The sequence below is a fragment of the Homo sapiens genome, chromosome 4, assembly GCF_000001405.40.
Source record: "Homo sapiens chromosome 4, GRCh38.p14 Primary Assembly".
Classification (NCBI taxonomy): Eukaryota; Metazoa; Chordata; class Mammalia; order Primates; family Hominidae; genus Homo; species Homo sapiens.
The window spans coordinates 40,234,838-40,250,579 of record NC_000004.12 but is presented as its reverse complement, the minus strand read 5'-3'; the positions used below and the strand labels follow the sequence as shown (position 1 = coordinate 40,250,579).

General features: G+C 45.0%; 1 protein-coding gene across 16 annotated transcripts in view, besides 1 other annotated feature; it reads right to left on the bottom strand.

Moving 5' to 3' along the window:
- RHOH (ras homolog family member H) overlaps nt 3,613-15,742 on the bottom strand; it is a 55,888-nt gene continuing 43,758 nt past the window's right edge. For 12 of the 16 annotated variants that reach the window (NM_001278368.2, XM_047415674.1, NM_001278365.2 and 9 more), the window contains 2 exons: nt 7,746-7,866; nt 3,613-7,402 (listed from right to left, as the gene is read on the bottom strand). In NM_001278368.2, the coding sequence (NP_001265297.1) occupies nt 6,618-7,193 (576 nt within the window). In that variant the 5' untranslated portion in view covers nt 7,194-7,402; nt 7,746-7,866 and the 3' untranslated portion in view covers nt 3,613-6,617. Of the gene's footprint in view, nt 7,403-7,733; nt 7,867-10,932; nt 11,486-15,221; nt 15,404-15,742 lie in introns of those variants that run through there. The other 4 variants (NM_001278364.2, NM_001278359.2, XM_047415675.1 and 1 more) reach the window with 4 other exon arrangements.
- Nucleotides 11,422-12,413: an enhancer, noted in NCBI's record as "H3K27ac hESC enhancer chr4:40239787-40240778 (GRCh37/hg19 assembly coordinates)". NCBI's record gives its function as "activates a minimal SCP1, AML or CMV promoter by ChIP-STARR-seq in primed H9 embryonic stem cells {active_cell/tissue: H9 hESC(primed)}" and the evidence as "EXISTENCE:reporter gene assay evidence [ECO:0000049][PMID:30033119]".

The window sequence follows — 15,742 nt, the reverse complement described above, 5'->3', positions numbered from 1 at the left end:
TAATTTTTAGCTGGTCAAGTTTAATTATGCCAAAATTACTTGGTAAAACTGGGACATTTTGTGGTTTTTTTGTTCTTTTGTTTTTTTTTTTTTTAGACGTAGTCTCGCTCTATCCCCCAGGCTGGAGGGCAGTGGCACAATCTCGGCTCACTGCAACTTCTGCCTCCTGGGTTCAAGTGATTCTCCTGCCTTGGCCTCCCGAGTAGCCAGGACTACAGGCACCTGCCACCATGCCCTGCTAATTTTTGTATTTTTGTAGAGACAGGGTTTCACCATGTTGGCCAGGATGGCCTCGATCTCTTGATCTCGTGATACAGCCGCCTCGGCCTCCCAAAGTGCTGGGATTACAGGCGTGAGCCACCGTGCCAGGCCCAGTTTTTGTATTTTTAATAGAGATGGGGTTTCACCATGTTATCCAGGCTGTTCTTGAACTCCTAGCCTCAGGTGATCCACCACCCTTGGCCTCCCAAAGTGCTGGGATTACAAGCATGAGCCACCACACCCAGCCTCAGTGTCTTATCAACAGGAAGAGAATATCTACCTTGTGAATTGTTATGAGCATTAAATGAGATGACGTACCTAAACTACCTACCAGGGGTGCTGGAACCAGCAGGCATTCCAATGTATTTTGTTGCTATTATCATTATCCCTAAGTATCGTTTTATTCATCTTACTCTAGCTAACAATGTTACAAGTGGTGTTTATGTCTGTGCCAATTTTTCATCCTATGATCCACTTTTTAACAAGTTTTAGGATATTCTAATCTGATCTGGAATATTCAGCCTATGTCTCTGCATTGGGATCTACCAAAAACATAATAACAACACCATTTGAACAATAGTTTACAAATATAAAACACTTCCACAATCTTTTTTTTTTTTTTGAGACGGAGTCCCGCTGTGTCACCCAGGCTGGAGTAATGGCATGATCTTGGCTCACTGCAACCTCTGCCTCCCAATTCCTGCCTCAGCCTCCTGAGTAGCTGGGATTACAGGTGTCTGCCACCACGCCCGGCTAATTTTTGTAGAGACAGGGTTTTGCCATGTTGGCCAGGCTGGTCTCTAACTTCTGACTTCAGATGATCTGCCTGCCTTGGCCTCCCAAAGTGCTGGGATTACAGGCGTGAGCCAACAAGCCCGGCCCACAATCATTATTGTACCAATATTTATACAGTATCCTAGGAATTCATATCTCTGCTTTAACAAAGGGAAACTAAGGCTGAAAGATACACAACCCAGATTTTCTGACCCCAGAATACATCACGATTGTCTGGTCTCTCCACTCCCTCATCATGGCTTTTTATCTACCATTAGTATTGAGTTCCAGGTCGGGATGCATTTTAGAATCTACCAAAAAGCTAATGTAGACTTCAGGTTTAATCAAGAACTTTTTATGAACTCATAGCTCAAATAATTTTCAGAGCTTATCTTTTCTTGTGAAAACCTGCTTGACATCTTAGCCATTGATTATGTTTCTTTGCTTTATCTGGACAGATACAGTCTCACGAAAAGTAAGTTCCTACTATTGAGTTGTACTGACCCCACTCAACTTGTAAGCATTTCTTTCTCAGCACTGGGGCCGAGCACTCACAGAGCCCTGTCCCCTCTGTCATGTCATAACTCTACAGATGCACCAAAGTGAGTCCTTTCATCACATTTCATTCTGGGTAAAGGGCGCCTCCTAAGTACGAAATCCTTGAAAGAGAAGAGCCAAACTCTCCTCTTCCCTGTCACTCCCTTGTTCAAAGGAAATACCTGAAACCTGAGGGGTGGAAAAGTGAGATAAGAAAAAGAGAATATTGGCCAGGCACGGTGGCCCACGCCTGTAATCTCAACACTTTGGGAGACCGAGGCGGGTGGAGCACCTGAGGTCAGGAGTTCAAGACCAGCCTGACCAACATGGTGAAACTCCATTTCTACTAAAAATACAAAATTAGCCAGGCGTAATGGAACATGCCTGTAATCTCAGCTACTTGGGAGGCTGAGGCAGGAGAATCACTTGAACCCAGAAAGCAGAGGTTGCAGTGAGCCGAGAGTGCACCATTGCACTCCAGCCTGGGCGACAAGAGCAAAACTCCATCTCCAAAAAACAAAACAAACAAACAAACAAAAAATGAAGAGAAAGAGAATATTGGCTGGGCACAGTGGCTCACACCTGTAATCTTAGCACTCTGGGAGGCCAGGGTGGGAAGATCGCTTGAGCCCAGGAGTTCAAGACCAGCCTGGGCAACGTAGTGAGACCCTGTCTCTATAATTTTTAAAATTAGCCAAGTTTGGTGGTGTGCACCCATGGTCCCAGCTACTTGGGAGGCTGAGGTGGGAGGATCACTTGAGCTCCAGAAGTTGAGGCTGCAGTGAGCCATGATCACACCACTACACTCCACTGTGGGTGTCAGAGCAAAACCCTGTCTCAAAAAAAGTTTTTTAATAAAAAAAGAAAAAGAGAATATTTCCCAAGCTTTTTATAACATTAAATAATGGTGTATTTCATCTCTGCCAATTTATATGCAATCAGCCTTTGGAGTTATGCTTTAAATACCAAGGATTGGAATGGAGACCTTTGCAAATGATGGTGTTGTGTGACATAGGTGGGTCCCATTCTCATTGCCAGAAAGACAAGGGCAGGACAAAGGTCAGACTTGGAATATTTTATTTAAAAATATATTTTTCCAGCTACTCGGGAGACCGAGGCAGGAGAATGGCATGAACCCGGGAGGCAGAGCTTGCAGTGAGCGGAGATCACACCACTGCACTCCAGCCTGGGTGACAGAGCGAGACTCCGTCTCAAAAAAATAAAAAAAATCTAAAAATTAAAAAATAAAAATAAAAATATATTTTTTAAAATACAGGCTACTTGACTGGCAGGGGTGGAGCTGCAAGCTACATGAGGTCGGATGTGGCAAAGCCATTCAGTCAAGCTGCTCTGGGAGGAAGTGGGGCAGGGTGGTTTTGAGCAGACCCACTTGAGACTCCTGGGGCAGCCACTCACCTGCTGCATGGGCTTGGCCTTGTCACATCAACATGCTGAGCCTCAGTTTCCTCATGTAAGATGGGACTCAGTATAATGTGGGCCTACACACATGTGGCAAAAGAATGCTTCGCTCGGTGGCCGGCACAGCACATCTGAAGCACTGAACAAACTTAATCAGGATGCTTCTAGCTTTCTTGTCACTCACTGCACTGGATTCTGCTGCCCAGTTAACTAGTCAGTGGAAAGTAAGACAGAATAGAATTGCTATGGATGGAATGTTTGTGTCCCCACAAATCTCAAAATGTTGAGGCCTAATCCCCAGTGTGATGGTATTTGGAGGTGAGGACTTTGCGAGGTATTAGATCATGAGGGTTGAGCCCTCATGAATGGGATTATTATCCTTAGAAGAAGAAACACCAGAAAGATGATCTCTTGCTCTACCATGTGAGAACACAGCAAGAAGACAGCCATTGCAAACCAGGCAGAGGGGTCTCACCAGAACCCAACCATGCTGTCCCTTGCCTTGGACTTCCCAGCCTCCAGAACTGTGAGAGATAAATTTCTGTTATTGAAGTCCCCTAGTCTATGGTTTTCCACTATAGCAGCCCAGGCTGACAGAGACAAGAATGAACTACCCGACCATGAAAATTAACTCTTTAATGTCATCAAGAACATATTTAATGCTGCTACTTGGAATAGTTAAGAATCGATATGCAATAGTCTACAAAAAGGTACCACAAATTTTGAAGTATAAGAAACCTGTGTCTGCATCTAGGCAGGCAAAAGTAAGTATGTGCTTATGTAGAACACACAACACACGGATTCTACCCATATGACCTATTTTTCTTCTTACCCCTACAAGGCTGGTGAGGGTCTGCTTGCTTTCTATAACCACTGTGTGGCACAGAAGCCCAATTACTGTCTTTCTCTCCATTTCAGTTTAACACAACTTTACCTCCATTGCCTTCCCTGTGCTGAGCCCTGGGGACACTGAGGAGACCAGGAGGCAGTGCTACCTTCAAGAACAGCAGTCTAGCAGGAAGACAGACACTTATCGGCTCCATTTCTGCCAGATTCTGCCACTGGAAAGGGTTTACACATAGATTCCTGGTCTCAGGTATGAGAGTTCCCAGACGGAGCTGTTAAGCTTGGCTCCCGCCAACAGGTGGAGGTCTCACCTGTGTGTCTTTGCCCAGGTGACAGCAAAGCCATTTGAGTGTGCCCTCTCTGGCCTTCCCTTCCTGCTCTGCTGCCACCGTGGAACCACCTCCTCTTCCTTCACTTAGGATCATGTATGGTGGCCCTTCCCACTTTCAGATACCCACCCCCATCTCTCTTCAACAAGAGAGAAAGAAAAGCCTGGGGGACAGCCCACTGCAGTGAATAGAAATTCCTTCCCACTGACATGTTAAATACCTCTCATGGCAAAGGCTGGCCCTGAACACCCGCATCCGTGATTTAAGACTCTGTGGGTTGAGGGAGAAGAAGAGAATCCCAGGGATATCAGAGGATATGAGATCCCTTCCCCTCCCCTGCCCGGTCATCTTTCAAGCCCCCCAACCCTGAGCTGAGAACTAGAGACACGGGCTCTCCAATCAAGGGAGGCGGGTGACTTAGAGGTGAGTACAAGCCACCGCCTGGAGAGCAGAGAAGTCTGAGTGAAGGCAGCTGTGTCAGCCCCAGGGAACCGAGGCAATCCTCCCACCAGAGATCAAGACCCCGGTCCCAGGCCTTTTACTGGCTGTGGATAGGAGGAGAGAGAGAAGGAGAAAGCAATGTGTGAATGAGCACACATTTGGTTTTTGATACTGATTATAGCTGTAAGGAATTGACCACACAAGGGAACAGAGAAACTGGTTTGGCTATGTCAACATAATTCTAATCAAAGTCATTTATGCCAGCCACCTTACCTTTTGTGTGTAATAGTCACGTTACCCCATAACAATGATGTACCTTCATAAAGGTGGTTCAGAGTGTTTCTAAGTTTTGATTAGGGCAGTAATTGATTGATCTATCTAGGTGCCAGCCTTTGCAATTTCTTTCTTTTTTTTCTTTTCTTTTTTTTTTTTTTGAGATGGAGTCTCCCTCTGTTGCCCAGGCTGGAGTGCAGTGGCGCGATCTTGGCTTACTGCAACCTCCGCCTCCCAGGTTCGAGCAATTCTTTTGCCTCAGCCTCTTGAGTAGCTAGAACTACAGGCATGTGCCACCACACCCAGCTAATTTTTAGCTAATATTTAGAAGAGACGGGGTTTCACCATGTTGGCCAGGCTGGTCTTGAACTCCTGGCCTCGTGATCCACCCGTCTCAGCCTCCCAAAGTGAGCCACCACGCCCTGCCCAACCCAGCCTTTGCAATTTCTACCTTAAGTTATGTAGTCCTCTGTTCTCCACTTTAACAGATGAGCAACACCATTGCTTTTAAACTATTCGATAGAATGAGGTTTGAGTTGTGTGTGTGAGAGCAGGTTGTGTGCGAGTATGTGTGTGTCTATTTATTCAGTATTTCCCCTGATAACTTTCTGTTCTCTGAGCAGTTGCTATATAGCTTTCTTATTCCTGTGCTTGGAATTTGATTTTTCTTTTTTGAAGGCTGTAAATTCTACCTTTTTTCCCTTACATACACATATATATGTAGATATCCCCCCAATAAGCCTAACTAGACCTTACGATTCATAAATTATGTTGCCACAACAGCTCAGTTTAGACAAATTTATAACAAATTTGTGAAATTAACAGAACTTTGAGACCCCTGTCTTTCACAGGACCTGCAGTCGCCTGGGAACCACCCTACCAGAAGTGAAAGTGACACTCTCTTGCTTCTGTTCCAAGTTCTGTTGCCATTGCTTGGAGCAGTCTGATTCTCTACCTGAAAGATGGTGTTTCAATCAATCTTGGTGAATGAGAGGAGAATATTTAGTGCATAACTGGAGTTGAGTGAAAGACAATATAGTAAATAAATGAATGATGTTTTATCATTTCAGAAAAATATAGTGATAACTTTAAAATCATTAGGCAGTATTAGGATATCTTATGGAACTGTATTTTATATCCAACTGTGAATAACAGGTAAGTAGAAAACAAATTGCAAAGATTCATTTATGGTCATTTTTAAATTTGATTACCCATTTAAATCCAGCAGCCAAGTGGTTTCAACAGACTTTCTACTTGAGGTGAAAATAATAACACTACAAACATATGGCAGAGCTTCGTACAAGCATTTCACTCACAGAGGAGTTTATGTTTTCGAGGATGTAGGAAAAGATTTTCCAAGTGTGAAAACTAAATATATACAAAAGCAATACATTTTGTTATTAGTTAAATAAAATGTGTCTTTAAATATGGAATTCTTTGAAAAACTCACTTCATCGTCCAAAATTATGGAGACTATTTCACTTTTTTAATCAAAGATGGAATATTCATCACAGTTCCCCAAGGGATTTTCTAACTGGCCTGGGCAAGGAGTTCACTTGTAGAGTGTAGTTAGTGAAAACATCCAGTGGCCAAGCCTCATCAATAACTGTATCCAAAAGGAGACGCTGCTTGGGGTGTACCCAGAGAAAACACCAAGCTTTCCTGGCTTCCCGGCCCTCCCTCTCCCCATTAGTCTTTGGGGTGCATACATAAGTGTTGTGTGAAGTCTCTTGGGGTTTAGAAGATCTTGCACTCATTGATGGAGAAGAGCCTCCTTCTGTTTCGTCTCCTGGCCTGGTTGACGGCAGTTCGGACGGCGCACTCAAACACCTGCTGTACTCCCCGATTGCTAAGGGCTGAGCACTCCAGGTAGCCCTTGGCTCTGACATCCTGGGCCAGTTTCTTCCCTTCCATGGCATTGACGCAGGAGGCCCTGTGGGGCCCCATCTCCCGCTGGTCAGTCTGGGTGGCCACCACCAGCACAGGGGTACAGGGCAAGTTGCTCCTAATTTCACCAATCCACTTGTTCTTCAAGTTCAGGAATGAGTTATGGTTGGCCACAGAGTAGCACATCAGCACCACGTCTGCCTGCTGGTAGGACAGGGGCCGGATGCTTCTGAAGGCGTCATTGCCGGCTGTGTCCCAGAGGCCCAGGCTGATCTGGATGCCATCCATGAAGACGTCCACCCCTGTGTTCTCGTACACTGTGGGCTTGTAGGCCTCCGGGAAGGTCTCGGAGGTGAAGCGCACCAACAGAGAGGTTTTCCCCACAGCAGAGTCGCCCACCAACACGCACTTGATGGAACTCAGCATCTTCCCAGCCTGCTGTCCTACTCTGAAGTCCAGAATCCCAGGGAAAAGAGCCCTCAGTGGGCAGCTGCAGCACACGCCATTCAGCAAGGGGAATGCAAGCCAGGTAGGTCTGTGTCCTCAGGACCTCTGACGGCGATTTGCAGAATGTTACTTCTCCCTGCCCATCCAAGCACCGTCTGCTTTGAAAACCTCCAAAGCCTAGTCTTCAACTGGAACAGAAAGAGAAGGGGGAAAATGAAGTCTTTCTTTCTTTCTTGCCTTTTTTGAAGATAAGGGGCTTCCTCATTGGCAAACTGATTAAATGTGGGGTAATCTCAGTGTAGCCATCCAACCCCGCTTGTGCAATCCACTCTTCCCCTCACAGGGAGAGCTTAGATCTGTCTTCCCCCAACACACACACACACACACACACACACACACACACACACACACACACACACAAATGCCTCCCGGTCAAGAAGCAGAAGCTGACTTTATCTGTAAAATCACTCAAGCACTAAAAAACACAAGCAACTGCTCTGACTGCAACATGAAATAGACCTCAGTAGCAACCTGGTGTGTGAAGGAGAAGTTTCCAAACAGCTCTCTGTCGGCTTCTACTCCAAGAAGTGGCAAAGGCCCCGAGAGCGTTCTCCACGGCTTCAGTTTCTGATGGATCTAGCCATGTTGGAAACTGCAAGAAACAAGAACGTTATGAGCGACAGATACTATATGCATTTCTTTTTGTTTATTGACTAATCACACAGTCCTTGGTTTATGGGAATATGTGTTGTAATAGGGGAAAAGAAATTACTAGAACTCTAAAAATTTGCTGTGGTTTTTCCCTTGAGGTTTTTCCAAAAACTGGTAAGAGATGCAACAGACTGGCCTTAGAGTTATCTGCATCTGAAATCAGGCACTGTCACCTACACATGGCTTTGAGCACGCTGCTTGAACTCCACACCTCAGCTTACACATCTGCAAGATTGTGATAAATTTAGGAACCACTTCTCAGAGATGCTGTGAGGATTAAGTTATTTCTTTCTTTTAACATTTTTGGTGGCCATCTGTGTATCCCGAACTCCGCTAGGCCCCTGGTTAAACAAAATAACTTGCTTGAAAGCAACCATATTCAGTGCCTGTCACTTAAACAGAGGACTGCATAAATGGGACAATCTGAATTTCATTAAAGGCCAAATAAATTCTCATTCAGTGCAGTGGGAAAGCCCCAGGCAATGAGCTCCGCCTTGGAGACAGTGTCGTGTCTGCTGTGGCACAATATCACAAGGCCAGCCCAGCTCCAGACGAAGGAAAAGTCTTTCAGACCAAAATTCAGAGTAAAGGTTATTCCTGCAACCTGGGCTTGTAACCTCCCCTCCCTGGCGATCTTCCTGACATGTGTCATGCAGGGCAATACAAAGCAAACCTACACGTCTGATTTAAACATAATTTTTAAGTCACTTCTCTAAATCCTGGCATTCCTTTCCAAAACATTTATTTTTTCTTTTTCTTTTTTCTGAGACAGGATCTCGCTCTGTCGCCCAGACTGGAGTGCAGTGGTGTCATCACAGCTCACTGCAGCCTGGACCTCCTGGGCTCAAGAGATCCTCCCACCTCAGCCTCCCGAGTAGCTGGGACTACATGTGTGTGCCACCACACCGGGCTAATTTATTGCTTTTTTTGTAGAGACACAGTCTCACTATGTTGCCCAGGCTGGTCATGAACTCCTGGCCTCAGGGATCCTCCTGCCTCAGCCTCCCAAAGTGTTGGGATTACAGGTGTGAGCCACCGCGTCCGGCTGCCAAGACATTTTTATCCTCGTCAACCCACTGTCCCTGTTGTTTAATTATACCTAATAGCTTTTGCAAATGAGTTAGCCATATAAATAATTCACATGATACATATTCATGTTTTTAAACACATGTAAGCCAGGTGACCTTGGCCAAATTACTTAACCTCTCTGAACCTTGGTTTTCTCATAAAAATGAAAATAAGAAAAGGACTTTCCTCATGTGATCACTGTAAGGATTCAGAATGTGGAGAGTCTGATTTAGCACAAAACCTGGCATCTGGGAATTATAGGAAGCCATCGAGTTATCCATTTCACTACTATCTGAAATGCCAAATCCTGAATGTCCATAGCGGAGGGACCACTTTGCCAAATGTTTACCTGGACTCTTTCTCCAGACTCACACCAGGTTACTGTCACACACCGTGGTCATGGACCCCATTTGAGACTAGACCTTTGAGGAAGGACTCCTTGAGGGCTCCATAGGCTTCCGTTAAACTTTAGATCCTTAGACCAAGAGGCAACTTAAATATATGCATTTGTGACTTAGTCCAGAGCCAAGACCTCTTAAGACATTTCTATGTTTTATTTTTTTAATTTAATTTAATTATCTTATTTTTTATAAATAGAGTGGGGGTCTCATTATATTGTTCAGGCTGGTCTCAAACTCCTGAGCTCAAGCAGTCCTCCCACCTCAGCCTCCCAAAGTGCTGGGATTACAGGCATGAGCTACTGCACCTGGCCTTAAGTTTTATTTGACCCCAGTGTAGCAGGGCCAGAATTAGGAAAAATGTACATGCTTCGGACATTTATTTATTTATTTATTTTAATTTTATTTTTTTGAAATGGAGTTTTGCTCTGTTGCCCAGGCTGGAGTGCAGTGGCTCGATCTCGGCTCACTGCAACCTCTGCCTCCTGGGTTTAAGCAATTCTCATGCCTCAGCCTCCCGAGCAGCTGGGACTACAGGCATGCACTATCATACCCAGCTAATTTTTGTATTTTTAGTACAGACAGGGTTTCACCATGTTGCCAAGGTTGGTCTTGAACTCCTGACCTCAAATGATCCACCCGCCTTGGCCTCCCAAAGTGCTGGGATTACAGGCGTGAGTCACCACACACAGCCACTGGCCACCTTTATTTATTTTTTGAGACAGAGTCTTGCTCTATCTCCCATGCTGGAGACAGAGTACAATGGTGGTTCACTGCAGCCTCCACCTCCCAAGTGATCTTCCCACCTCAGCCTCCCAAGTAGCTAGGACTATGAGCACTCACCACCAAGATCAGCTAATTTTGTTTAGTTTGTGTAGAGACAAGGTCTCACTATGTTGCTGAGGCTGGTCCCGAACTCCTGGGCTCAAGTGATCTTCTCGCCTCAGCCTCCCAAAGTGTTGGAATTACAGGCATGAGTCACCACACTCAGCCCTTTTGGTTATTTAAATAAACTTTCCAATAAACTGACTGAGCTAAAGCCAAATTTCCTGAGTGAATATCTGCAAAAGGAAATTAATAAGGCATAATTGTTAAGGTCATGGGCTTTAAAGTCAGGTGGACCTGGCATTGAATCTGAGCTGCCCAACCGACTACCTATGTGACGAACTTGGAAGATTTTCTTAACCTCCTTAAGCCTCAGTTTCCTCCTCTGTAAAATCAATGTAATAATATTATATCTGTATCACAGGTTGTTGAGAGTATTAAGTGTGCTTAGAGCTGAGAGTGCAAAATTCTTTTTTTTTTTTTCTTGAGACGGAGTCTCGCTCTGTTGCTCAGGCTGGAGTGCAGTGGTGTGATCTCAGCTCACTGCAACCTCCAACTCCCGGGTTCAAGTGATTCTCCTGCCTCAACCTCCCGAGTAGCTGGGATTACAGGCACCACCACCACGCCTGGCTAATTTTTGTATTTTTAGTGGAGATGGGGTTTCACCATGTTGGCCAGACTGCTCTCAAACTCCTGGGCTCAAGTGATCTGCCCACCTTGGCCTCCCAAAGTGCTGGGATTACAGGCGTGAGCCACTGTGCCTGGCCTAGAGTGCAAAATTCTTAGCAGGTGCATAATATAAACACATTGTATGTACATAGTAAACACACAGTAAGTAGTCCCTATTAATAACATTCTCAAATAACAATTACTAAATATAATGATAAACAGTTATTAACTCTAAGTAGGGAATTTAAAGTAGCACAAAAGAGGTTTCTCCAGCAAAGGGTGTTCTGTGTGTCTCATACCCAGACATGGCTACAAAAAGAGAAAGAAAGAGAGAGACTCCTGTCTAAGCTTTGCTACCTAGAGAGTCAGAAAGGAGAAAAAGTCTCTGTTCAATCAAGTGACCCTCATGTGCCAGCCAGTTCTGACCCCAAGTGGCCCATCAAGTCAGCTTTCAGGGCCTCAGTTTCCCAAACTGTAAAGCAGTTTCTGATAGTTTTATTAAAACTGAAGCCAAAGTAGGAACATTTATTACCTGCTGCAGTGAATACGAAAACAAACCACCGCATCATTGTGCGGCAGTAAAGATGGATGATAAGCCTTGAGGAGGGGAGGAGCCTTGGCAGATGCCTAAATATGGAGCTGTGGGAGGAGGGGAGGTAGGGGAGGAGCTGCAGTCCAAGGCAGAGCCATACCCTATAAGGACATGACAGATAATCTTCAGAATGGGTCACATGTGTCCAGGAGTGAGCTGCCGCGGGTTACATCATCAGCATGTGAGTCTGATGGGCTTGAATTCAGCGGAATTTCTCCTAAAGAAATTCTCCCTAAAAGGGCTTCTGGGTGAAAAAAAGTGAGTCTTCCGTGGTATTTCCCAAGTGGCTAACTGGCAAGAGTGGCCCAAGTATGTCTCTTCGTACGGAAGAGTTACGAGAGCGTCATGGGTGATGACACTGAGTGGCCCTCCAGGCCGTTCTTCTCAGGCTTTGAATCAGATAGAATTAATGAGCCTTCACCTCCAGAGCCTCCGGGGTCTCCATAATTTGATGCTCTTGCCCTTTTTCCTCTTTCTACCATTTTCATAGAAAAGGGTCCCTCAACAGGCCTCCAGGGTTCACACGCACAGAGACAGAGGAGGGAAGGGAGGCTTCACGTTGCAAAAGCAACAGAGTTGGGCCCTTCTGCCCACTCTGGCAAAGAGACCAAGATAGACACAAGTGAGGGATTAGGGGAAGAGACATCCTAACCCATTTCCTCCTCCGGAGAACTGAGGGCTGTTCAGTAGGAAATCCTGGTTTCCTTTTGGCCTCAATTCTAACGGCCATGCTAACAGACACCAATTCTCCACCTGACGCCCTCCACAGGCTCGCTCTGTGCCATCCTATTGGCTGGAAAGACCTGCTCTTCACTCAGCCCCCAACTCCCACTCCTTCTGGAAAGCCTTCCTTGACCACCAGTGCTCCCCAGCCGCTGCCAGATCAGATGCCCCCGCCAGATCAGATGCCCCCGCCAGATCAGATGCCCCCTGCTGTGTTCCCAAAATACCTCTATGTACATTTGACATGGAAACCACCACTCTGATGAAATGGCTCGTCTTCTCAGTTGTAAAATGGAATCAGATTTGCCCTGCCCTCTTCACTGTGAGCTCATACGGATCAGGTGGAAATGATAACAATACAGAAATAATTTCCGTTTGTACTTTTACAATACTTTGTACATTTGGAAATGCTCTCTTCTTGGTTTTGCGAGAAAGTCTTTTTAGAACAATACATCATAATATAGAGCTAAAGTGAAATTATGACTATTATTAACCGATTGTTATTATTGCAGGTTTGAAGTTAGCTGGGCTTTGGTGGAGGTAGCTTACTTCAAAATGCTGATGGAATCCTCAGCTGTCTTTTTTTAAAAATATGAGTCCATCGCCAGTTGGGGATGGCCTATCAATTACAGAGAATACATCTAAATGTCATCCTCCTCAAGGAGCTTTGGACAAAGGACCTGTGCTGGTAGCAGCTGATTCATTCACTAAGAAAATTGATTCCACCATGAATCTAACACAATTAAATGGCCAGGAAGTCACCATGCTCCTCAGCAACCCATCTCTAGCCAGCACCTTCAATAGCCCCTTCATAGCCTAGCAGGGACATCACAGCAAAAGCAGGCCTTTCTCAGGATGGATGAGGCCATGGGGCTCCCCAGCTGGGAAGTGGGGCTGAGTGCTTTGTTCTTTTTTTTTTTTTTTTGAGACGGAGTCTCACTCTGTCCCCCAGGCTTGTATGCAGTGGCACGATATTGGCTCACTGCCGCCTCCACCTCCCGGGTTCAAGTGATTCTCCTGCCTCAGTCTCCTGAGTAGCTGGGACTACAGGCATCCATCACCATGACCGGCTATTTTTTTGTATTTTTTAGTAGAGAAGGGGTTTTGCCATGTTGGCCAGGATGGTCTTGAACGCCTGACCTCAGGTGATCCACCCACCTCGGCCTCCCAAAGTGCCGGGATTACAGGCGTGAGCCACCTTACCCGGCCAGTGCTTTGTTCTTGTGGGGAAAGGGAAGCAATTCCAAAAACCTTAAGCAACTTTAGAAAAAAAAGGTGTAACCATCTCTAAACTTTTTCACTCCAAAACCTTACTAGTTTTCACTATCTAACAAATAGACACTTGTATATATCTTCTAAATATTTTTCAGATTTAAGCTTTTTAAAATTTCAACATTGTCTACACACTGGCTAGATTTCAGCTAAATAGATTTCCACGGTTTCGACAATTCCTAACTGCACACCTATTCCTCACTGTCTTTGGGTTAGTTCCGTATTTCACCATAATTAGCTATATATGTGTACATAAGTGTATGTGCAGAGATATAACTTTATATACGTAAGGTATAGGTAAGTTACTTTTTTTTTTTTTAATGGAGTCTCACTCTGTCGCCAGGCTGGACTGCACTGGCACGATCTCGGCTCACTGCAACCTCCACCTCCCGGGTTCAAGCAATTCTTTTGCCTCAGCCTCCCAAGTAGCTTGGGACTACGGGAGCACACCACCACGCCCAGCTAATTTTTGTATTTTTTTAGTTGAGATGGGGTTTCACCATGTTGGCCAGGATGGTCTCGATCTCCTGACCTCGTGATTCACCTGCCTCAGCTTCCCAAAGTGCTGGGATTACAGGCATGAGCCACCGCAGCCAGCCGGTAAGTTACTTTTATGGGGGATGATTTTCTTGGGAATGTGTATATTCACAAGTGTGGCATTACTGGGTCAATGGGTCATTTTGTGACTTGATTTTACATTTATTGAACATCTTCCAAGTACTATACTGAGTACTTTGCACATATTATTTATTAATTGTTTTATTCATGTCCTTTAAAAAAGACATTTACTTAGGGTGTCCTGTATGGCAGGCACTGTAACAGGTTCTGAGGAAATAATCGTGAACAAGAGATGCTGTATTTTAGAGATTATCATGTCACAATCACAGAGGCTTCAAGAGGTTGGCAATCTTGGCCACAGTCACACAGCAAGGAATGGCAGAGGCAAAGTTAGACCCAACTAGAGTCTGACTTCAAAGCATTGGCAGCTCCAAGTGTCACCAACACACACTGTAATTCCCATCAGCCTTCTCCAAGGCATCTCAAACAAAGTTGTTTTCTATGCAGACCCAGTTTCAAGACATTTTTCCTAGCCACCCCTTTTTTTTTTCTTTTTTTTTTTTTCTTTAAGACAGGCTCTTACTCTGTGTGCCAGGCTGGAGTGCAGTGGCACAATCACAGCTCACTGCAGCCTGGACCTCCCGGGTTCAAACAATCCTCCTGCCTCACATTCCTGAAGAGCTGGGACTACAGTTGCGTGCTACTATGACCAGCTAATTATTTTTATTTTTTATTTTTGTATAAACAAAGGTCTCACTATGTTGCCCAAGCTGGTCTCCAACTCCTGGGTTCAAGCAATCCTCTTGCCTCAGCCTCCCAAAGTGCTGGGATTACAGGCATGAGCTACTGCCCTAGGTTGTACCCAGCTCTTCAGACCAGGTCTCTACTCCTATTCTCTTCCTGAAAATAAACCAGTTCTTGCTTTTTTTTTTTCTTTTTTCTTTTTTTTTTTTTTTTTTGAGATGAAGTTTCGCTCTTTTTGCCCAGGCTGGAATGCAATGGCGCAATCTCAGCTCACTGCAATCTCCACCTCCTGGGTTCAAGTGATTCTCCTGCCTCAGCCTCCCGAGTAGCTGGGATTACAAGGTGCATGCCACCAAGCCCAGCTAATTTTGTAATTTTAGTAGAGACGGGGTTTCACCATGTTGGCCAGGCTGGTCTCAAACTCCTGACCTCAGGTGATCCACCCACCTTGGCCTCCCAAAGTGCTGGGATTACAGGCGTGAGCCACCATGTCCGGCCCAGTTCTTGATGTTTTAAAGGACATCTGTTGCTTCCTGATCTGGATGCTGGTTCCACAAGTGTGTGCAGTTTGTGAAAATCCACCAAGCTGTATACCCACGTGGTGTTCACTTTCCTGTATGTAGATAAAACTTCAATAAAAAGCATTTTTAAAAATAAGGTTACCACCTTTGTGGTGAACATCTTCTCAAGTGGCATTTTATCTTAAGTTTTACTTGCAAGAATTTATTTCACCAATCTGAATCCTATCTTAATAATTCCCCCTACTGTGTTGCTAATTGCTACAAATAATCACTAGATTTTCTCTCAAAACCACAGAAAGAAATCATTTTTAAGTCAGTGTACTTTCATACATAGATCATCTCTGTTTGAAACAGATTTTGTTCTGAAAGTTTGTTTGCAAGATGCTGGTTTGCTTGGCCAGGCACAGTGGCTCACATTTGTAATCCCAGTGCTTTGGGAGGCTGATG